Here is a 24,053-nt window from a genome sequence, read left to right as displayed (position 1 = left end):
ATTGTTCCACTGTGCCTTGCATTACTTCTAATGAGAGATGTGCTCTTGGAATTAAACTTTAAAGTGGGTATTCATTACTAGATTTTATAATTTGATTATGATGTGTTTTGGAGTTGTTTTCTTCATGTTTCCTGTGCTTGAGTTTTGTTGACCTTCTTGGATATACCAATTTTTGGTTTTCACCAAATGTGGAACATATTTGGCCATTATTTATTCAAATATATTTTCTACTGACCCTCCACCTCATCTTTTCTATTCCATGGATGTCAATTATACATACTTTAGGTTGTTGTATTTAAATATTTCTTCACATCAGGTGGCGTGGCTTATGCTTGTAATCCCAACACTTTGCGGGGCTGAGTCGGGAGGATTGCTCGAGCCCAGGAGTTTGTGACCAGCCTGGGCAACATAGGGAGAACCCCATCTCTACAAAAAATACAAAGAATTAACCAGGCATGTGATGCATGCCTGTAGTCCCAGAAACTTTGGGAGGCTTAGCTGGGAGGATCTCTTGGGCCTGGGAAGTCAAGGCTGCAGTGAGCTGTAATTGCACCATGGCACTCCAGCCTGAACCACAGAGTGAGACCCAGGAACTTGCTCTGTGTCCTAGGTTAGAGTGCAGTGGCATGATCGTACCTCACTCACTGCCATCTTGAATTTCTGGGCTCAAGCAATCTTCCTGTCTCAGGCTCCTAAGTAGGTAGGACTACAGCTGCAGGCTATGATGCCTAGTTAATTTTCTTAAAAAAAATTTGTAGAGATGAAGTCTCGTTATGTTGTCTAGTCTGGTGTTGAGCTTCTAGTCTCAAAAGGATTCTCCCTCCGAGACCTCCCAAAGTGCTGGGATTACAGGTGTGAGCCACCCCTCCCAGCCAACCTCAGGCTGTTTGAAGTTGTCCTATAACTCACTCTTCATTTTTTCTATAAATATACTGTAACACTCTCTTCATTTTCATCATTATTTTTTCTTTATGTGCTGCATTTTGAATATTTTCTAGTGCTACATTATTGAGTTTGCTAATCTTTTGTGTTGCATCATCTGTTGTTAATCACATCCAGTGTGTTTTTAATGTCTCAGATGCTGTAATTATTAGCAGTACAAGCTCAATTAGTCCTTTTTTGGTATTCTATACTTCCACTTAACATGTTCAATCATTCCTCTACTTCTTGAAAAACTGAAATACAATTCTAATAATTCATTGTGTATCCACTCTTAATTTACACTCTGCTGAGCCTGCCTGGAAGGCTGGAGGGAAGGGCAGCCTGGGGGTCTCAAATCTGAGTGAACTGGGCCAGACCTGCTTATAGCTCTGACCACTGTCCTCCTGAGGTTGGAGGGGGAGGGTGACATAGGTGGGAAGGGGTTTGTGTCTCACTTTCCTGTCTGCCTGTGTCACTGTGAGATGAGTATCAGTGCTGTCTCATGATTGACAGTAATAGCCTTGTTTCCAGCCTGGGGCCCATTGATTATCAGGGTGGCCATGTTCTCTGATATGGAGTCAGAGAGTTGTTCAGGAATCACTGAGTGCCAGTTGCTGTCACCATAGATTACCAGCACAGGGACCTGTCCTAGCTTCTGCTGGTACAAAAGTTTGCATAAAAGTATTCTATGCTGTCTCCCTGGTAGGTGATCCTGGCCCTCTGTCCCAAAGCCACAGACGCTGCAGGCAACTGAGTCCGCTCAGAGGAGGCCACTGAGCCTACAAGATAGGACAGGAGAGGTGAGTCTGAAGATGAGGGTCTCATTCTCAGAGCCCCACACACTGCGTCACTCCCTGTGCTGAGCTGAAGGTCAGGGCCAGGCTGATCCCTAGTCTTATGGGGCTGAGCCCTGGAAGGCAGAACCTGTGCCGACAGCAGGAAGGGTGAGTAGAGGAGAGGGATTCAGGTCATGGTGGAGATGCATCAGAGTTCTGCCTCTGAGTTCATAGCTAGACAGTGGACTTCCTGGGCCCTCATCACAAAAAGAGAAGTCTCTTCATAGAAACCTGCTTCTCTTCCTGTTGTGGCCTTGTTGGGTGACTCCTTGGTGAGCACAGAAGGACAGGGCTTAATAGAGAGTGTAAAAATGTGCCCTATCTCCAGGTCTGTATCCAGTTTCCTCACACTCTCCCTAGTATTGAGTGAGGAAGTGCTGCCCGCACCATATGCACACACACATCTCAGTTCATGTCTCAGGTATTCACAGAGGTAGGCAAGAACTCAGTCATCTTCTCTATTGATGTGAATATCCGTGGAAAAGGAAGCTCCAATGTAAATTCATCGTGGACCCTGAAGATTCTTTAGCTCTCACAGCCCTGTCTTGACCATCTAGCATCTGGTCTGGGTAGCAGGGTTGGGTTGATCTTGAAGCAGGAGATTGTAGGAACAGGGGCCATGCTGGTGTTTGGGAGGCCAGAATTCCATGATGAAACTCAGTGAAATTGCTCAGCCATCTCTCAGATTTATTTTTTATTTATCTGTTTTTTTTTTTTTTTTTTTTGAGACGGAGTCTCGCTCTGTCACCCAGGCTGGAGTGCAGTGACGCGATCTCGGCTCACTGCAATCGCTGCCTCCCGGGTTCACGCCATTCTCCTGCCTCAGCCTCCCAAGTAGCTGGGACTAAAGGCACCTGCCATCATGCCCGGCTAATTTTTTGTATTTTTAGTAGAGACGGGGTTTCACCGTGTCAGGATGGTCTCAATCTCCTGACCTTGTGATCTGCCCACCTTGGCCTCCCAACGTGTTGGGATTACAGGCGTGAGCCACCGTGCCCAGCGATACTATTATTTTTATATTAAAAATGGGAGAAAATCGGCTAGGTGCGGTGGCTCACGCCTGTAATACCAACACTTTGAGAGGTCGAAGGGGGCAGATCATGAGGTCAGGAGATCGAGACCATCCTGGCTAATACTGTGAAACCCTGTCTCTACTAAAAATACAAAAAAATTAGCCGAGTGTGGTAGCGGGTGCCTGTGGTCCCAGCTACCCAGGAGGCTGAGGCAGGAGAATGGTGTGAACTCGGGAGGTGGAGCTTGCAGTGAGCAGAGATCACGCCACTGCACTCCAGCCTGGGCGACAGCGAGACTCTGTCAAAAAAAAGAAAAAAAAAAGGAGAAAATCTTCAAGATCTATGTCTATGCAAAGAATTCTTAGACTTCACCAAGTACACAAGTCATGAAATGAAAGACTGATAAATTGAACCTTAACAAAACCATCAATTTTTGCTCTGCAAAAATCTCTCTTGAGAGGATGTGAACAGAAGCTACAGACTGGCATTAAGTATTTGCCAATCACATATCCAGTAAAGGACTAGTATAAAAAATACATAAAGAACAGTGAAAACCGGCCGAGTGCATTGGCTCATGCTTGTAATTCTAACACCTTGGGAGGTTGAGCAGGGAGGATTGCGTGAGCCTAAGGAGTTCGTGGCCAGCCTGGGCAAATAGGGAGATCTTGTCTCTACAAAGAAAATTCTGTAAACGATTAGTGAGGCAGTGTGTGTGCGTGTTGTCCCAGCTACTTGGGAGGCTGAGGCAAGAGGATTGCTTGAGTCAGGAAAGTCCAAGCTACAGTGAGCTGTGATTGCATCACTCCACTCCAGGCTGAATGACAAAGTAAAATCCTGTCTCAAAAAAACAAAACACCCAACACTGAATACCAGTTAAGAGCAAAACAAAAGACAATCTAATTAGAAAATGTGCAAAGGGCACAAACGTGATCAAAGAGGACATACAGATGGCAAATAAGCACAGGACAAGGTGATCATCATTAACGATCAGAGACACGAAATTTTAAAAAATGGAATATCACTACACACCTATCACAATAGTTACCTAAAAAAAGAGTAAAAACACACAATTCCCAAAGAAGCAGAGAAATTTGATCATTCCTTCATTACTGGCCAGAAAAAAATGTTACATTCACTTCAGGAAACAGTTTGTCAGCTTCTCAGAAAACTAAAGACCTAATTAGTGTATGACACAGCAATTATAATATTGGACCTTCATTTCAAAGAACTGAATACTTATGTTCACAAGAAACATACAAACTGATGTTCGTAGCACCCTCAGGTGTAGTAGCTCCAAACTGAAAACAATCCAGATACCCTTCGGTGGGTGAGTAATTCATCAGGTTTTGTTAAACTAATACCAAGAGATACTGCTCAGCAATTGAAAGGAACTGACTATTGATACACACACCTTTCCAATGACTTTATAGGGAATGATGCTAAGTAAAAAATTCCAACCCCAAAGTCTGTCTACTACAATAGGGTTGTATTTGTATCACGTTTTTGCAAGACAAAATTTTAGGAATAGGGAACCAAATCAGTGGTTGCCAGGGTTGGGCAAGGGAGGGAACTGGGTGGGAGGAGGTAGATATTATCAAAGGGAAACACCAGGAAATGTTGTGATGGACCTGGTTTGTGTCTTGATTGTAGTGGTGGATACCTGTGCTGATACATGTTGGGAAATCACACAGAATGGAATGCATAGACACACATGCATGCATATAAACTCATACAAATACATGAGGAAATGTGAACCTGAGAAACCTGAATTTTAAAAATGCAAAGATTTGATTAAATATTTCACCAAAGAAGACATACAAAGCACAGATAAGTACCTGAAAAGATACTTAGCATAATAAGTCATTAAAGAAATAAAAGTTAAAAACATAATTAGATATCGCTACAGCTCTATCTGAAAGACTTTAAGGAAAAACTGACAATATCAAGTGCTAACGAGGATGCACACACATTGAACTCTCATAAATGGGGGGTGACAGGTCAAGATCCATGTCCTTTCCTGGGGCAGAGCCCGGTAAGGGAGCACAGGGCACAGTGAGACACTGGGACACGGTCATCTCAGCCTGGCCACTCTCTCAGGGTCCTTCTGCCTGGGCTGCTCTGGTCTCTCCTAGTATGGTCCCCACAGACTGGTGTTGAGGAGACAGAATGATGAGTTGTCAAAATGGCCTAAATCATGGCCTGCATCTGCCTCTGCCTAGGGGTGTCTCTGCAGGAGGAGAGTCAGAAGTCTCAGGGACTTGGAAGGGGACATGTGACTGCTGACTCTGAGTCCCTGAGGAGAAAGGGGAGGTGGGGGGTTTTGGCCTCACTTTCCCTTTGTGTCACTGTGTGTGGCTCACCCATCCTGGCCATCAATCTTGTGGCTCTCTCCATAGTGATACTCAGCCTCGTCCTCAGACTGGAGGTTGGACATGGTGAGGGAGCAGTCAGCCCCAGAGCTGGAGCCCGAGAAGCAATTGGGGATCCTGTCCTCCTTTCTGTGTCTGCCATCGCTGTGAAACTTCATTATATACTAGGGGGACCTCTCTGGTCTCTGTTGATACCATTTGATGATGTAGGTACTGTGCTCACTGCTCAGGGTGCAGGTGAGCTTGACTGAGGCTCCCAGTGAGGCAGATGCAGACGGGGGCTGAGTTAGCACAGCCAGAGCACAGAGACCTGGAAACATAGAATTTCATGAATGATGCCGAATGCTCGGGAGAACTGGAAAGAATGCCCCTGAGGATTGGAGCTTGTGGAGAAATAGCAGTGAAAGGGTTTCCCTGAATTCCCTGGATGTTCTGACCTGTGGAGAAAATGAAGGGCAGGAGGTAGAAGGAGACCCAGACCGTGGTGGGAGGGACTTCCAAGAGCTCTGCTTGAGGCTGCCCCGTGGAACCTGGTTACAAGGACTTCTTGTGTTACCCTCTTCTTGAAGCTTGTTGGGAGGAGCTTTGAATGTCAATTTGCTCTCCACTTCCCAGCATGTTTATCTGAGCTCCTGTCTGAGCCGTTAGCCTGGAGACTTCATCTTGGCAATTTCCCATGTTCAGAAGAAGGACCAGGTGGGTGTCACAAGTACAGAATAAATTTTACACAATAGAAGGGGCCTCAAAAAAAGCGTCAGTCATTCCCTTTGCACTTGAGCACTACCAGGGGACTTAGAGTCATTAGAGTCCCCAAACCAAGGCCCACAGTCCCTTCTAGGGCTCAGAGGTAGAAAGCCATCCTCCATGTACCACTAGTTCTTTAGATATCTATGCCGTATATTGTTTTAGACATTAGTTGAGATGATACCATGTATAATTTGAGATAACGCTAAAGGCATGATAGGTTAATGACCTACTCAGAAATCCGTGAGGTTGATTGTGTGGATCCAGTACCCTGGATTCTTTCCCTTGAGATCCTGTTAAGAGGTCCCCTGAGAACACTCCAGGAGTCCAGGGACTTCCAGCAAGAAGCAAAACTCTCATCTTCAGGAGGGGCCACCTTGTCCTCTGTTCCATGTTCTGTTCACAACCGTAGCAAACTCAAAGTCCCACCAGTGCTGGGTGGGGGTTCCCCAATCTTCTTTAAAACTTTTCTAGATGTGTGTACCCACACTAGAAGACAAAACACAGCAACCAGCACTTAGTAAATCTGTCCTCACTGCAGCCCAAGCAGCAGAGACAAGGTTCCCTTTTGAAATGCAGTTTTCTGAAAGACTTAAGTTTTCTTTTAAACAGAAAAATCTTGTTTATTAGAATGCAGGACCTTGCAGAGATGTGTTCACTGGTTCATGTGATGCGAAATGTATCCAGAGGGACTGTTTCCTGCCCCCACCTCCCTCTCAGAAGTCACTAATGTACATGCCAGGCATGTTTGTGGGGCACAAGCTCTAATCAAGTATATGTGGAAGGACGTGTTATATAACCAAGGGAGAAGATGGGAGCAAATGAATGCTTCTTAAGGAAGATTTTCAGTCGATTATTTTCCTGGGAATGAGTCGTGCTCTCTTGTGACTTTGTATGCTGTGCAAATTTTTGTTGAGATCTGAGTATTTTGAATATTGTGATGTTGTTAACTCCCAGGATCAGATTATCAGATTATGCCCCTTGGCTGATATTGTGCAGTTGTTCATCTGAGGGGTGCAGTTGTTTATTTGTGTTGTGACTTTTCCTGAATATTTTCGCAAGGACTACCTTTCTTGTCAGAGTGATCCACGAAATTTCTGTTCAGTTATCTCTGTGGTCAGAGATCTACCTGACAGAGACTTCCTTAAGCCTGTCTCTTTCTTCTTCAGCTCTTCCCTGGATGCTGCAAATATGGGATGAGATACCATAGTTTTATTAGAGTGAATGCTGATGGTTCTTGCCACTTCAATAGTTATATCACAGGAGGGACCATTTCTTGGAGCTTCTTACTCCACCATCTTCCATGAGGCCACCCGGAGAACATGTATTTTTTTTTTTGTCTTGTTTGCCAGTACATCTCAAGGACCTATTCAGTATCTGGGACCATTCAGTGAATTTGTTTCAATACATATTCATTGAATGTGTAAGAAAATAGAATTGAATTAATAACACTTGTTGTTCATTTCCCATGCGGCAGGCACCGTGGTAACAATGTTGTACGTGTGCAATTAACTTTTTTGATTTTCATATTTTATTCAAGGTACATGCTTCAAATTTTTTCATGGATATTTTAGCCCAACTGTGTGATTTAAAAAAAAAAAAAAAACCAGCCGGGTGCGGTGGCTCACGCCTGTAATCCCAGCACTTTGGGAGGCCCAGGTGGGCGGATCACGAGATCAGGAGATCGAGACCATCCTGGCTAACAGTGAAACCCCGTCTCTACTAAAAAATACAAAAAATTAGCTGGGCGTGGTGGCGGGTGCCTGTAGTCCCAGCTACTCAGGAGGCTGAGGCAGGAGAATGGCATGAACCTGGGAGGCGGAGCTTGCAGTGAGCCGAGATAGCGCCACTGCACTCCAGCCTGGGTGACAGAGCGAGACTCTGTCTAAATAAATAAATAAATAAATAAATAAATAAATAAATAAATAAATATAAACCACTCTAACTACATTAGCCTAACCTCTGGAGGCACATCACATGATCACTCACTGTTCCCGTGGTATCTACAAGTGTGAGTTTAACTCTGCCTTCTTCCCTTGATTAGTATTTGGAAATCATAGAAGACATTTTGTGAGGAGAATAAATTATTTAGATCCATGATTTTAAAAATGATCTCTCTCAAAATAATCATTGGGAAATTCTACAGTTTGTGTTGTTCATTTCAATAGCTCTGTCTCAGAGATCTACAAAATAACTACACAGAAATCTAGTAAGAATATAGATTTGAACCATTTGCCAAGTTATCTTAATTATAATAAATTTGTAGAAAACTGCACCCACAACAGCAGAATACATGTTATCTTTTCAAATACATATGGAACATTTTTCATGATAGTTCATAGTTTAGGCTATAAATCAAATATTGATAAATTTGAAAGGATGAAAATCATAGAAGATATAATTTAATGCAGAATTAACTAATTAACTTGAATTAATACCGGAAGAACCATAGGAAATCTTCAATTATTTGAAAGTGAAAGAACAGACTGTTAAGTAATCCATGAATCAAAGAAAAATCACAACATAAATTAGAAGATACTGAACCTTTTTAAACATAAAAACACAACATATTAAAATTTAAGGAATGCAGCTAAGTCTGCTTTGAAGAAAAACTATGGCATTAAATGCTTAGTATTGGAAAGAAGAAAGAATTAAAGAAAATAATCTAAGCTTCTACCTCATAAACCTAAAAAAGGTGAACATTCAAATTCTAAGTGAATAGAGGGTAATAATAGGGATCACAGCCAAACATTCATGAAATAGAAAATAGGAAAACAATAGAAAACCTCAAAAAAAAAAAAAAAAACACTTGGCTCTTCAAAAAGATTAATAAAATCAATAGATTTTTATCTTTAGGTAAAGTGACCATGATAAAAAAAAGAAAAAGAAACACAAGTTGCCAAAACCATGACTAAAATAATGACATCACTATAGACACTAAAAGGGTGAGAATGGTTATAGGGAATATTATGAACAGTAAATGCCAAAATTATAGATAAATGAAGTAAAATTTCTGGAAAGACATAAATTATGAAAATTGACTCATGAATACATAGAAAATCTGAATAAGTCTATGACACTTAAAGATATTAAAGTAGCAATTTAAAATCTCCGTGCTAAGAAAAGCCCACCTATACCCAAATAGCTTCACTGGTATCACATTTTTATGGAAGAAAGCATACCAACCCTACCTGAACTCCTTTAGAATATAGATGATAATACCTGCCTTTTAATTGTGGTATTTAGACCATTTATAGTTAATGTGATTAGGAATATACTTTGTTAAAATATACCATCTTGCTCTTTTTTTCTATTTGTCTTATATGTTCATTGTTCCTCTTTCCTTTTTCTCTCTTTTGAAATTTATTTTTAAAAATTGGTTTTCTTTAGCTCCTGGCTTAAGTGGTGGTGAATTTTAAGTGTCAGATTGGCTAAGACATGGTACCAGGTTGATTTTGTTAAGCACCAGTGTAGACATTGTCATGAAGATATTTTTCAAATGTGATAAATATTCAAACCAGTAGACTTTGTATAAGCATATTGAAATAGCCTCATTGTCTGGGGTGAATACTCAAAGTTCATTGTCTCAGGGCCATGGAAAACTAGGACATGATCTGACAACAAATGAGGTTGACAGCAGAAGTTTAATAGGTGAAAGAAAGATAATAGCTCTCTGCTGCAGAGAGGGGACCCAGAAAAATGGGTTGCCGGATCTGCAGTGAAATGTAGGGAATTTTATAGATGAGCTGGTGAGGAGGCAGTATCTGATCTACATAAGGTGGGTGTCAAAGACTGGTTAGACCAGGTGTGCTACTTGCACAGGGCATGAAAAACTGATTAGGACTAGGTGTACCATTTGCATAGGGTGCACATTTCTGGCCAACCCTGCCCTAATCTGTTATTACGCAGGTGGGTTATCTGCCTGAGCTGCTCCATGTTGCCCATTTCTCTATTGCTATACACATGGTGACAAAAAAAGGGAAGATGGAGCCTCCATGTTGGACATGGCTGACCCCCAGGTAGTACTTTTCTATTGGCATAGCTGCTGGCATTGCCCCATGCAAGCTTCCAGCTTGCTTATCTATGTTTGCAGCACGGTTTTTTCAGGCTGCTCTTTGTTATAAAAGAAATGATTTTTAGGGCTGCTTTTTGTTAGATGAGAAGCTCTGCTGAGGACCCTGTCACCCTCACTATCTGCCTAAATAATTTCTGTCTCCTGTATCAATACTACTTTCCACAATGTGTGTGAGTCTCATTAATGAGTTCAAGGTTTTTAGAATAAATACTGAAGTTTCCCAGTGATTGATGTTAATGATCAGCCTTGTTCTTGGCATGAGCTCTGCTAATGGTCAGGGGGGACACTTTCCTCGATTTGGAGCCAGTGTGCATAATAACAGCTGATGCTGTCTTGGGGAAACATTAGCTTCTTGCAGAATTTGAACTCAGGACGGCAATATCAACTCTTACCTAAATTTCCAGCCTATAGCCTGCCCAACAGATTTTGTCCATCAGCCACCACTATTGTATGAACCAGCTTCTTAAAATAAGTTTCTGTCTGTCTCTCTCACCATATAGATACATTATACATATATATTCATATCCATACATATCCTATTAATTTTTGGTGGACAAGCCTAATATAGCGTACTAGCCATATTTCTTTTTTGTTGAGGGTTTTATTTTAATGGTTGTTTTAGGGTATACAGTAAATACATAACTTACCAAAATCTACCTTCAGGTGCTATTATATATTCACATATAGTACAAAACCATTATTACATGTTCTTCACCCACCTTCGCTTTTCTGCTTTGTCATATAGTTTGCTTTTATTTTTATTACAAATCATAATGTATTCTTATTAATTTTTCTCTGAACAGTTCTCTTTATAGACATTACTGTTCTTTTTATAGACATTACATAATACAGAGGTTTCTAATTGATCCAGGTAGCTACCATATCTGATTTTTCATTTCTTTGTGTCAAACCACATTTCAATGTAGGATTATTTTCTTTCTGTTTAGGGGTGTCCTTTATCATTTCTAATAGCGAGAGTCTAATGGTGATCAATTCTGTAGGATTTCACATGTCTGAAAAAGTCTTATTTTGCCTCCAGTTTTGAAAGATGTTTCTGGTGGATAAAGAATTCAAGGTTGTTGGATTTTGCATGTTATTATTTTCAAGACATTGCTTCACTATCTTCTTGCTTGCATTGCTCCTAATGAGAAATCTGCTCTTTGTAGTTTTGTCCTAAATGACTACTTTTCATCACTAGATTTTATTAATTTGATTATGATGTGTTTTGGAGTTGTTTTCTTTGTGTTTCCTATGCTTAAGTTTTATCGAGCTTCTGGGTTATATCAGTTTATGGTTTTCACCAAATGTGGAACATATTTTGTCATTATTCATTCAAATATTTTTTCTTTTCATTCTTACCCCATCTTCTATTCTGAGGACTTCAATTACACGTATATTAGCCTGTCTGAAGTTCTCCTACATCTCATTGATGCTGTTTATTTTTATCGTTATTTTTTGCTATGTGTTTCATTTTGAATAGTTTCTAGTGTTACACTATACAGTTTGCTAATCTCTTGTTTTGCGACATCTAACTTGTCTATCTCACCCAGTGTATTTTTAACCATACTTACAGTTAAATTTTTCTTTGTGTTGGTATTCCTTATTTTCACTTAATATATTCAATCATTCCTCTACTTCTTTTTTTTTTTTTTTTTTTTTTTTTTTTTTTTTTTTGAGACGGAGTCTCGCTCTGTCGCCCAGGCCGGACTGCGGACTGCAGTGGCGCAATCTCGGCTCACTGCAAGCTCCGCTTCCCGGGTTCACGCCATTCTCCTGCCTCAGCCTCCCGAGTAGCTGGGACTACAGGCGCCCGCCACCGCGCCCGGCTAATTTTTTGTATTTTTAGTAGAGACGGGGTTTCACCTTGTTAGCCAGGATGGTCTCGATCTCCTGACCTCATGATCCACCCGCCTCGGCCTCCCAAAGTGCTGGGATTACAGGCGTGAGCCACCGCGCCCGGCCCATTCCTCTACTTCTTAAACAAAAGGAACGTAATCATATTTGTTTGTGTATTTACTGGTGATTCACTCTCTGCAGAGCCTGCCTGTAGGGCTGGAGGGAAGGGCAGCATGGGAGTCTCAGATCCAGGTTAAACTCTGCTATTTTGCATTTTTTTTTTTGAAGGACCCTTGCTCTGTCACCTGGGCTGGGGTGCAGTGATGCAATCTCGGCTCACTGCAGCCTCCATCTCCCAGGTTCAAGTGATTCTCCTGGCTCAGCCTTCTGAGTAGCTGGGATTATAGGCATGCACCACCACACCTGGCTAATTTTTGCATTTTTAGTAGAGACAGGGTTTCACCATGTTGGTCAGGCTGGTCTAGAGCTCCTGACCTCAAGTGATTGGCCCACCTCGGCCTCCCAAAGTGCTGGGATTACAGGGGTGAGCCACCATGCCTGGCCTCTGTTTTGCCTTTTAGTTTGCCTGCTTGAGCCCACTCACCCAAGGCCTGAGATCTTATCAGAAAGCTGCTGATCACCAGCTTCAGGTATTTTCTATCTATTGGGAGACCGCCTTTCCTTGGTGCCGGCTGTGACTAATTATTAATTCACAGAGACAGTTTTAACAACTACCTGACCATCATCTGATGCTTGCGTGACATTCCTGGGGCAGGGGGTCTCCTGCCCTGTCACGTCTGCCTAGTTATCTACTGTAACATCTCCTTGGCTTGCAAATCACTCCCTTCTTCTGTGTCCTCACGTGATCTTTCCTCTGCATGCTCATCTATGGTGTCTCATTTCTGTGTGCTCAAATTTCTTCATCTTCAGAGGACACCTGTCAGATAGAAAAGAACCCATCCTACTGGCTTCATTTTCACTTAATCACCCCATTAAAGACCCTATGTTCCAATTCATTCATGCACTGTGATTAGAGCTTCATTGTATGAATTCTCGGGGCACACTTCAGCCAATAACCCTCCACACTATGGACTCTAAAACTCATGTCTTTCTCACCTGTGAAACACATTCACCTCAGCCCAACATCCCAAATCATTGACTAGATCAGCACCAACTCTAAGATCCATCTCATTTATTTATCATCCAAATGAAGTGCAGGTGACTCCTTGTGTGATTCATCCTGAGGGTGGAAACGATAACAGCTTTCGGGAGTTTCACCTACTTTCTCCTGTTATCTTCTGGTATCAAGAAAAGTAAACTCCCTCTTTATTTGCTAAGACTGAAAGAAAAGAGCAAGTCAGCATCAGCAACATTTGTGAGTTAGATGTGGGGGAAATCACATCCATGCATTCTTGAAATAATTTAAAGTAATAATTTAAATGCTAATAAAATTGAATTTTGTAATCATTAGCAGCGGGTTATGTCTGGGTGTCAAATGGTGTTTTGAAAAGAGCCATATGTTGACAAAGAGTCAAACTGTGTAAAATATTTTAAGATATTTATCCTGAGCCAAGTATCAGTGACCATGACTGGTGAACACAACCCTCAGGAGACCCTGAGAGCTTGTGCTCAAGGAGGTTGGGGCACAGCTTGGTTTTATATATTTTAGGGAGACAAGATATATCAATTATATACATTCAAGATATACATTGGTTCAGTCCAGAAAGGCAGGATAAGTCAAAACAAGAGGGTGATGGGAGGCAGGGTTGTGGGGCCTTCTGGATTATAGATAGATTTTAAATTTTTCTGATAGCAGTTGGTTGAAAGTATTAATAGAAAAGAATGTCTGGGTTATAATAAGTTGTGGAGACCAAAGTTTTATCATGCAGAGGAAGCCTCCAGGTAGCAGGCTTCAGAGAGAATAGATTGTAAATGTTTCTTATCAGACTTAAGATTTGTATTGATGTTAAGTGCAGGTTGGCTTTTCCTGAATTCCAAAAAGGAAAAGGGCTTAATGAGACATGTCTGACACCCCTTTTCTGCCATGGCCTGAACCAGTCTTTCAGATTAACTTTGGAGTGCCCCCACCAAGAGAAGAGAGTCCACTCAGATGGCGGGGTTGTTGGGGGAGCATTGGAATTTTATTTTTGGTTTACATGTAGTTGGCAAAGAAAATAAAACAAAAAATACCAAAAGCAGAATATGTCTGAGTTAACTAAGACAAATAATAGACAGAAATGGGATAATCCAAACAAAATTAATCTCTTGTGTGCATATTAAACTACTAATTCCAATTTTAGCATTGACAATCAACATTTTGATGTGCAAATAAAGAAATCTCTCAATAGTTATGAAAAAAAGCAGTTGTTTCCTACTTAATGTTACAGTTCCTTTCTGGGTAAGGGTGTTTGACAGTGGAAAAGAAGGGTGTTCAATGAGATGTTTCCTTATGTCTAAGAAAAAAGGGAAAAAAATTTCATTTAGAGAAAATGATAATTTCCAGCATAAGACATTATGACTATCAAGTTCCTGTTCTGTTCCTGGCAATTTGTTGTAGGGCCTTAACAGCTTAAAATCTCAAGCTTCCATATTTCATTGCTACATTCTGAGTTTTAAAATCTACATGCTTTATGTAAATTTGCAACACATTTAAACCTTAAACTTCATTTATTTATTTATAATCCCCAGAACTTCAAAGATCATGCATGTTTTTGGTTTCAGCTACAATGCTGATTTTATGATGTTTTTCTCTGAGCCTGTACTGGTTTATTCCAGAGTTGGTGCAAGCTTCCCTGACCATTTGCTGCTCCCGGTACCTCTGATTTTCCACCTAGGGTCAGTCTATTTCTGATATACTAAAGCTTTCTGAAAACTCAGAGCAAATGGATGAGATGAAAAACATGAGACTGTGACACAGGGCTGTCCTGGGAAGACCCAAGATCCAATTAAATAGATGATACAAGTATGTTCTTATCCAAAAGCCTCAGGCCACTATAGGAGGTAAAATACAGTATCCTTCAAATAGAGATCTCCACCTAGAACATATGCGGTGGAATTCTCAAACTTCAAATTACCCTACAAATCAGGGACCGTTAAACCACATCCTGTGGGCCATCCCTGTCCTGCCACCTGTTTTTCCATGGCCCCAGAGCTGAGAGTGGTTTTTATAGGTTTAAATGGTTACACTATAAATGGTGCTAAAAATACCTACAGAATATCCTCAAAGTTGACTCTTGGGAACCACAGACCAAAATCCTTCTTATCTGGACATTTAAGAAAATGTTTACCAAATTATAAAAATAAATAGCACTGAAGTATTAGAGAAAATGCTCAACTTCAAGCAGAACAGGAGAAATCAAAACTAAAAAAAGATAACATTTTTAAATCTGCTAGGTTGAAAAACATTTAAACTTTCCCCAGTGTACTCTGTTCGAATATTTATGGCTGACATTGCGAATTTGTAGATAACCCCTCTAGAGGAGAATCTGAGGACAGTGAGTGAAAATTACAAGCACACATCCTTTTGACTCAGCAATTTGACTTCTAGAAATTTATTCTATGGTCATGTCTACATATAAAATCAAAGGAGTCTACATAAGGATGTTCGCTGCAGTGTTATTTATAAGATCAAAATAGTGATAATAACCATTAAAAGTGAGTTGGCTAAAATTCTACCATAGAATACTCTACAACCTTTGAATGAATGGGGCAGTGCTCTATGCCTAGGATGTCTCAGCAAAGAATAAAAAATAGTGCATGCATGGGATGGTCTTTTACATGGAGGACAAGGACAGGGGCCTTCACTCCACTCTCTCCTTTATCCTTGAGATGATCTACATCTGCCAAAGAGGTTAGGAACTGCGGAAGTCTCCCAGCCAGAGGGAGGCTTCCACAGCCAGAGGGAGGCTTCCACAGCCAGAGGGAGGCTTCCACAGTTCCTAACCTCTTTGGCAGATGTAGCCTGAATGCAGCCTGGCCTGACAGCTTGGCTGCAACCTCGTGATTAACCAGGAGCGAGAATGACCAAACTAAGCTACTCCCAATTCTAGGTGCATCCAAGTCACAAGGTCACAGACATGTGTTCTCTTAGTGTGCTAAGTTTTGTGAGTGTTTTTTTATGCATCAATAGACAATACACTTTGGTTTTTGAAATAAATTTTAGTGTTTATATTTCAGGTACACAACATGATGTTATATAGTAGTTACTTTGTAAATATATATAGTAAACTAGTTACTTTGTTTTAAATATAATCTGTATAATCGAAGTTTAAGGAGCCTAAACTATATATGATAATAGCTGTATTTAACAACTGGCTCAGAAAATTTAAATATTGGACCCAGCTAATGTCCGAATGTGTTCTAAATCAATTCTCACCATTAGATTATTAGGGATTCCAGGTACAAAAGTATTGACAGCCATGAAAATTAGAAATGCTCGATGTCCATGAGGAAGGGAGGTGGACTCAGGTTAACTCTTTCCTGTGGAGCCATTTTGGAATCCCCCATCCTATGGGAAGACCGTCCACTTGTGAGGAGTTTCCAGGACAGGGCCTCAGCGATGTGAGGGGAGGAGAATTCTGCGAGAGCACTGAGCCTGTCACTCAAAATCTCCCCAGCTCAGCAACCTGAGGAATTTCGGCAAAGAGCAGGAGCAATAAAAAGAAAAACAGCAGCATCCTCTTTGTTCTTAATCCCTCAAAAACATCTTCAAGTCTTCTTAAAGTGGTCACTTTAAGCTAGGAGGGCCATCTTCATTAGAGCGTGGTGGACACAGAGTGGAACAAGATGCAATTCCTGGAAACTGGAAGCCATCCCCCTGATGGCTTCTGTCCAGATTGATCTGCATAGTGTGACAGATGGGGGATGCATTTAGAATGAGGATGTTCCTGAAAACAGGAGGGACTGCACCAAGCAGTAAACTCCTTGTCCCTACGTCCCTGCATTGAAGAGCTAGGAATAGTTGCACGTTAAGGGACCAGAGCACACAAGCAAAAGGAAGTTGCCACAGTCCTGAACGAGAAATCACGAGCAGGTTTCCTTTTAGACCTCATGGTGGGAAAGGAGAGGAGCTGAGAGAGGAGAATTGTCAAGGCCATCCTGCAGGAAACCCTTATACAGCGTGAGGAAGCATCTGCAGAGCAAGAAGGGGGCCTGAGAGCCCAGGGCAGGTTTTGATCTTACTTCCTCATTGACTTAAAACACTGTGGAAATTGTTGCTGCCTGCATATGAGCTGCAGTAATAATCAGCCTCATCCTCAGCCTGGAGCCCAGAGACGGTCAGGGAGGCCGTGTTGCCAGACTTGGAGCCAGAGAAGCGATCAGGGACCCCTGAGGGCCGCTTACTGACCTCATAAATCATGAGTTTGGGGGCTTTGCCTGGGTGCTGTTGGTACCAGGAGACATAGTTATAACCACCAACGTCACTGCTGGTTCCAGTGCAGGAGATGGTGACTGACTGTCCAGGAGACCCGGACGCGGAGGGAGGCTGAGTCAGGGCAGACTGGGCCCAGGACCCTGGAAAGGGAGAAACACAGTCTAGTGAGTCAGTGCTGGGCCCAGGTGAGCCTGAGGAGCAGGAGACCAAGGATCAGCCCAGAGGTCCCTGTGGCCCCTTCCCTGGAGGCATCACCTGTGCCCTGAGTGAGGAGGGTGAGGAGGAGCAGAGCCCAGGCCATGGTGGTGACGTCCTGAGAGCGCTGCCTCCTGAGACCCCAGCACTGGGCCTGCCCCCAGCCCTGTCTTATCCCCTCTGCCTCAGAGAAGGGCGGGACCTCCATGCAAATCTGCATCCTGAGCTCCTCTTCTCACCCCACCCTCACTTGGGCCTGGGCTTAGAGACTTCTGCTTCCCTTGACAGCGGGGCTCAGCCAAGGAGACTAAAGTCCCTGATTGTCTATTCTGATGACAGGAAGTTGATTTCTTTGCACGTGATTTGCTCAGGAGAGAAAAATCTGCTGAAGCCCCTCACCTGAGTGAGCTCTTGGCCCTCAGTGTCTCTGCTGTGTGGTGCCTGTGTCTCTGTGACCCTCCAGGCCTGGGCACACCTCGAAGTAACCTCTTTCTGGCACTCATTGCCAGGTTCTCTCTATTCTCAGGAAATGGGGCTGCCCAACCCCACTGGAAGCCTCTGCTGGGTGGCGTTGGTCCCTGGTCTGCCCAGCGGCAGCCTCGTCCCATCCCCACTCCCATGCTTTGTCCTGAAGCATCTGCACCATCAAATCCCTGGAGCACATCAGCCACCCCAGGCAGTGCACCCACATCCACACGGGCACATGTGGGTGGGACCCTGTGAAGGGAACAAGGAGCACCAACCAGGGCCACAGTCCTGAGCCTGAGTCCGCTGCTCCCAATCCTGCCCCTCCCACTCATGAGCAGGTGACTTGTCCTTCCCAGCCTCTGGTTCTCAGCCTGATAAATGGAGACCACAGAGTCCGTTCTGCATACAGGTGATCCATGGGGATATGAGCCAGCAGGGAAAAGGGAAAGTTTGCTAACAGGCCTTTCTATGTGCACCAGAGTGATGTTATCTTGAAAGGTTTATTGAAAGATTTACTTCCATTTTACTGTGATTTATGTGTCAGGTCACAGAGATGCACGTTTCCGGCTTTCTTACTTTCCCCCATCTGAGCACATCCTCAGGACAACCTAAAGCTGACCTCTCTCAACCCTTCGACACTGAAGACACACAGACATTCAATAAAGACATTTTTAGTTTTTCCTCCAAATGCGTTTAATCTTTCTTCATCTTTCCCCATTGCCTATGATGCAACTCTTTTAATGTTCCATATTAAAATAACTATTAAGGGATTCAGGTTCTATTTAAATATTGTAACATACACTATCCTGTCTTCCCATCTAGATTGAGCTATAAAACCATGACAAGTGCATGGAGCAGCTATTTGAGCACCAGGAAAGGAAATGGTACGCAGCAGTTTGGGATGGCCCCAGCAGATGAAATACAACAGAGTCAGTGTGAGACTGCTGGATTTCCTCACTGTCCCCTGGCTGGGACTCCAGACAGCCCCAAACCTGAAGGGGCACAAACCTGAAAACAAAAAGAAGTCCAGAAAGCCCTCTTGTTCAGGATCGAACTTGGGAAAGAAAACTTATTTGGCTCAAAGTGAAGGCTCAGTCCCCTGCACAAGCAGGTGGTTCACACCTGTGTTCTCATCTCTCTTATACCAGCGCCTCTCCCTGGGTTCACACTGATGTCCTATGGATGGAGACGGGGCTTCCTGCACCAGGTCACTCCACAGCCCCTGTAACCTGAAGCCCTGCAGACCAGCCTTGTTCAATCACAATGTGATGTGAGCCTCATGGGAATCCCACTGTCTAGTCATCATGTTATAAATACAAAGAGAAGAAGTCAATGAGTTTAAATAATGTATTTTATTTACCTAGCATATCAAAAAGAGTATCATTTTCATATATAATCTAAGTACAATTATTTATGATATATATCATATACTTTGCATGGCTATTGTTATTATTTTTTGAAGAATCTTTATGTGGAGATTGTGTGGCTGATGGAGATGTGAATGGGTTTCCTGTTGACAAGGGTGGGTTGTGGTGGCTTTTTAAGTGTCAACTTTGATAGGCTGGAGGAGGGGTGGAAAGAATGATTTTTTACACAGGATGTGGAGGGTGGAGGTAGGCAGTGTCCATACTTAAGCTCACCCTGTGGGTGCATCTGTGGTCCCTGCATGGGGTAAGGCTGCTCCTCCTGCCCCAGGTTTCCCTGCAGGGAGATCTGACTCCAACTCTCCCTTAGACCCCAGAGCACCTGGCGAGTCAGGCTCCCTTCTCATTCCATGCAAATGCAAGAAACACTCAGATCTCATTGGGCGTGTGGATACTCACAGTGCTAATTTAGGAATAAACAGGTGCTTTCCAGCATACAGTGGCCTCCTGAAGTCCCACATGGCCCATGTTGGGGATGGCTGGTGATCTTAATTGGGTTCCCTGGAAGCAGACTCTGAGATGAGGAATTGCATGCACAGAGGATGTGAAAGGAGGTGAGGGAGGCAACCCTGGGCAGGAGACCCTGACCCTCATTGAGGTCTCAAGTCTTTCCTACAGAGAGCTGTGGAGCTGGGAGGATTTTCAGGTCTTCCTATATTGAGGCAGAGTCGAGAACTCGGCCTCAGGCAGTCATGAAATCTAACCTCACTGAGAAAGGGCATAGACCTGGAGGAGTCTGTTTTCTGCACCGAACAGCACTTTACAGTGAGGACACAGCTCTGACCTGCCAGAAGCTCCCAGTAGTGCTTAGTGGGTAAGCTCAGAACAGGGGATCTGGGCAGATCCCACAGTGTCTACTCCATTGGTGTTTCTCTAAAGAATGACAGGCTACCACAGGAGCCTGAGCTGGGCAGTTCTGGGGACTGATCTAGGACATTTGGGGCAAGGACTGGCCTGTCACCACCTATGGAAATCCAGAGACAACTGTGGATGTCTACCTCAGTCTGATCTTCCATGCAGGCCCTATTTTCCCAAGTCACAGCTGAGTCACCAAAACACCAGTCCATCCTGATCACATCACCCTAAATGAACTACTGATGCACTTTCTGCAGACCCCGCCTGAAGGACTGGAGGGAGGGACAGGCTGGGGGCAGAGATTAAAGAGAATTTAACCAGATCTGCGTAAGGCTTTGTTCATAGTCCTCCTTGAATTAGAGAAAGAGGGTGACATAGATGGCGAAAGGGTTTGTGTCTCACTTCTTCATCTGCCTGTGTTACTGTGTGCAGTGCTGCTGTCCCACACCTGACAGTAATAGTCAGCCTCATCCCCGGCTTGGGCTCTGCTGATGGTCAGGGTGGCCGTGTTCCCCGAGTTGGAGCCAGAGAATCGCTCAGGGATCCCAGAGGGCCGGTTGCTATCCCTATAGATGACCAGCACAGGGGCCTGGCCTGGCTTCTGCTGGTACCAGTGCACATTTTTACTTCCAATGTTGTTTCCCCCACAGGTAATCCTGGCCGTCTGTCCCAGGGCCACTGACACTGAGAGTGGCTGAGTCAGCTCATAGGAGGCCACAGAACCTGCAAGAAAAGGGGAGAGAATAGAATAGACTTGAAACTGAGAGGCTCAACCCAACAATGCCTTCCCACCTGCCTGGCCTGAGTTTCAGGAATAGAAGTGTCCTCAGGGGACCATGAGCACAGAAGAACAGTGTGGGGGGATTTCACCTCCAGCAGCCCCTCCCCCTGCAGCAGGATCATGAGCATCCTGCACACCACAGGCAGGGCCCTGCTGAGATCACTGTCAGGCCAGGCTGGACCCAGAGCCTTGGAGCTGGGTAGGTGGCTGGGACACTGGGGGCAGCACCTGTAAAGTGAGCAAGGAGGCTCAGAAGGAGAGCGGTCCAGGCCATGGCTGCGGCACCCCCGATGCTGCTTCCTGAGGCCCAGGCTGGGCAGGTTCCTTCCAGCCCTCTCTTATCCCCTTGCTGAAGAGAGCAGCCTGTGATGCAAATCAGCAGAGTCAAGGGCTGCTACTGGAGGAGCTTTGTGGTTTCCAGAGAAGGGCTTAGCCCCAAAGGATGCAGAGAGGGGGAGGAGTGGCCTTGCACTCTCACCCTCAGCCTACAGGATCTCCTTTACAAACTGGTTCCACGGTCTCTGCAGATATCTCCACACCACGCTGTGCTCAACCCGACTCCTGGGCTCACTTGGTCATGGTAGAGCTCATAAGTGACTCTGGGTGTTTTTCCTAGGATACATGAAGCCCTTCCTATGTGATTATCCCTAACTGTTGCAGGAGGTGGCCATAGAGTCACAGTGGTGATGGGGAAATTATCTGGGGTCCCCAGTCCCCTCCTCCATTCCATTCTGGCTCAGGAGGGAGGTGGTGAATTTTGGTCTAGGCCTCTAGATGTATCCTGATCATGAATAATTTGTGCCAGAGAGGAGATTTTGGGTGTAGGCCTAAATCCGTTTTTGAAGACACTTTCCAGAACCTAATGCAAGGACCCTCTATCCACACTCTACAGGTGACAGCATGTGCCTTGGATAGGTACAGACCCCACCCCAGGGCACAGCTCCTCAGTGCTAGAGAAGAATAAAATTTCTTGGTTGCCAAGTGCACATGGAGTGTTGGAAGATCCATGGGATGCGGTAAGTTTCCTCGTTGGCTGTGAGCTCCAGGGCAGGTCGTACATGCTGTGCCTCAGTGTCCCCAGGGTGCTGTGAGGACCAATGACAGATAAGGAGGTCAAGAAAATGTTTGCTCCATGAGAGAATGAGAGGGGTCAGCAAACTGCAAGACCCCTGGAAATGAATGTTTATTATGACTAAGTTGTCTTCAGTTGCTGGGGAAAACAAATCAAGGAATTAAAAACTTAATTAAGTCAACAGAAGGTTAATGAGCAACTATTTTGTGCCTCACAAGGAAATTGAGACCTGTGATTTGGCAGCTTTCCCAGGAGACAGATGGGAAAGCCCAGGGACAGTGGAGATGGGGAGCAGCCAGGGAAGAAGAAGCTGCTGTGTCTACAGGACAGGGGCTCCCAGAGCAAAGGGCAGGGAGGGGGACACGTGTCACCTCAGGAAGGACACTGTGCGTGACAGGGACAGCATTTTAGCACAACTGGGTGTGTGAGGAGAGGATGTGTGGGGAAGTCAAGTGCCTGGACCTTTGTCAGGGAAATAGGAGCATCTACAAAAGCTGAAGATAAAATTTGATGCTAGAATTTTTACATCAGTGTCAAGGACAACACTCTAGAAAAAGAAGGACCTATTTTCCCTCCAGGTGTCAGGTCGTGGTCACTGACCCTCCCTGCATGTCAGCATCTCCCTGATGCCCAGGTCCACCCCATCCCGAGGTGGCTTTCCCAGGTGACTCTTTGCTGCCCCCCTGGTGGCTGCTCCATACTGACTGCTGGAGGCTCATGGGCCTCCTGGGTCCAGGCATAGGAACAGAACCTACTGCTCAGGTCCCTGATGCCTTGATCCGTGGACTGCTGGCCCCTGGGGAGGAATTCCTCTTCTCTGTGTGGCCCCTGCCTGACTCAAGACCAGGTAAAAGGGGCTCAGCTTACCCATAAAAATACAAAAAATACAGAAACAATGAAAGCAAACCCCCATCATATTGGAGAAGAGTAACCTGGAACAGGAGTGTGAGGGGAAGAGTCTGCTGTGTGTGGGGATCTGAGAGGACAGCGGCAACCTGAGGGGATCTGGGACCCAGACCAGTCCCTGTCTGATTTGATATTGTCTTGTAAGTGAGGAGCTGGGGGCAGGTGTGTGGTGCGTCAGGTGTGCGGAGGGAAATTTCTTGCTTATGCTCAGCAATCTGGGAGGGGCTGAGCGCATACACTCCCTGTTGGTCTCCAGGATGCAGTCGCTGAGGCTGGGACTGATTAGACACAAGTGGGCTCAGCCCCCTCACTTGTTCCTGCTTACCTAGGGCTGAAGCCACTTAGAGTGGTGGTTAATCCGCCTCCACACTTCTCTCCCGGTGTCCATCATGCAGCCATGGGGAAATTAAGCTACTGTTACTTCCACTGATCCTGGGTCACCATCAATGCACCAGCACAAGCAGGTTGACTGTTTTCTGGAAAGTTCTCTGGCAATTTTCCTTTTGTTTCAGTCGTGCAGAGCTGACTGATGGGGCACCTGCCTTTCAGAGGATACCTGTTTGCTACCAGGCTCTTACTCTAGAGGAAGACAGAGCCCTTGGCATAGCTGGGGTGTCTGCTGTGCCTGTGGGTAGGTAGGTGTTTGTAGAGAACAGGTTTTCTTGAATGTCACCATGCTTCACAGCACCTCCACACCATGGTATCACTAGGTCCTCAGTGATCCTGTGATTCCTCCTGCTCTGGGCAAAACCTTCTGCTACTAATTAACTTGCTTCCTCAGGCTGTTCCCGCAAAGTCACTTTGTGAACCTGAGTTTATTCCTCAGTTTGTTTTGAGGGTTAATAGCTATTAAGTCTCACTCACCTTCACCTGTGTAATGGCTGATTGGCAGTGAAGGGCTTCCTCTTACAGAGCACCTGCCGAGTGCTAGTGGCTGGGTGGTGGAGATGCGGCACTGGAAATTCCATCTGCAGAATGAACAGCTCCTTCAAGTTCCAAATCCATCTATAGACATTGGCCACATACACATCAGTGCATAAGGTCATCATCGACTGCTATCTTTCCTCCATCGACTCAGTCCCCAAAAGTCATAATGCCCTTCCCTTTGATGGTCAAAACATAAAATGGACTCAACACTGGAACGAGGTTCTACTGCACACAATGAACATGGTCCAACTGTGCAC

General features: G+C 44.3%; 1 long non-coding RNA gene, 1 other non-coding gene, 1 pseudogene, 2 gene segments (V, D, J or C) and 1 further gene; 1 reads left to right on the top strand and 5 right to left on the bottom strand.

Annotated features, from left to right (window-relative positions):
- LOC105372948 (uncharacterized) overlaps positions 1-19,309 on the top strand; it is a 63,619-nt gene extending 44,310 nt beyond the window's left edge. For both annotated transcript variants that reach the window (XR_938047.2, XR_001755438.2), the window contains exons 3-4: positions 1,628-1,721; positions 18,654-19,309. This is a non-coding gene — a long non-coding RNA (uncharacterized LOC105372948). The remainder of the gene's footprint in view (positions 1-1,627; positions 1,722-18,653) is intronic.
- IGL (immunoglobulin lambda locus) overlaps positions 1-24,053 on the bottom strand; it is an 896,838-nt gene that overhangs the window by 82,624 nt on the left and 790,161 nt on the right.
- Positions 1,402-1,700, bottom strand: IGLV3-7 (immunoglobulin lambda variable 3-7 (pseudogene); annotated as a pseudogene). The gene is given in 1 exon segment: positions 1,402-1,700. A coding segment is annotated over 1 exon segment (299 nt).
- IGLV2-8 (immunoglobulin lambda variable 2-8) lies at positions 17,001-17,469 on the bottom strand. The segment is given in 2 exon segments: positions 17,001-17,308; positions 17,424-17,469. Coding segments are annotated over 2 exon segments (354 nt in total).
- On the bottom strand, positions 17,419-17,514 carry MIR650 (microRNA 650). The gene has a single exon (NR_030755.1). It is a non-coding gene; the product is annotated as a microRNA 650 (primary transcript).
- Positions 20,538-21,165, bottom strand: IGLV3-9 (immunoglobulin lambda variable 3-9). The segment is given in 2 exon segments: positions 20,538-20,833; positions 21,120-21,165. Coding segments are annotated over 2 exon segments (342 nt in total).

The sequence above is a fragment of the Homo sapiens genome, chromosome 22 (assembly GCF_000001405.40).
Source record: "Homo sapiens chromosome 22, GRCh38.p14 Primary Assembly".
Lineage (NCBI taxonomy): Eukaryota > Metazoa > Chordata > Mammalia > Primates > Hominidae > Homo > Homo sapiens.
This window is presented reverse-complemented; position numbering and strand designations above follow the sequence as displayed.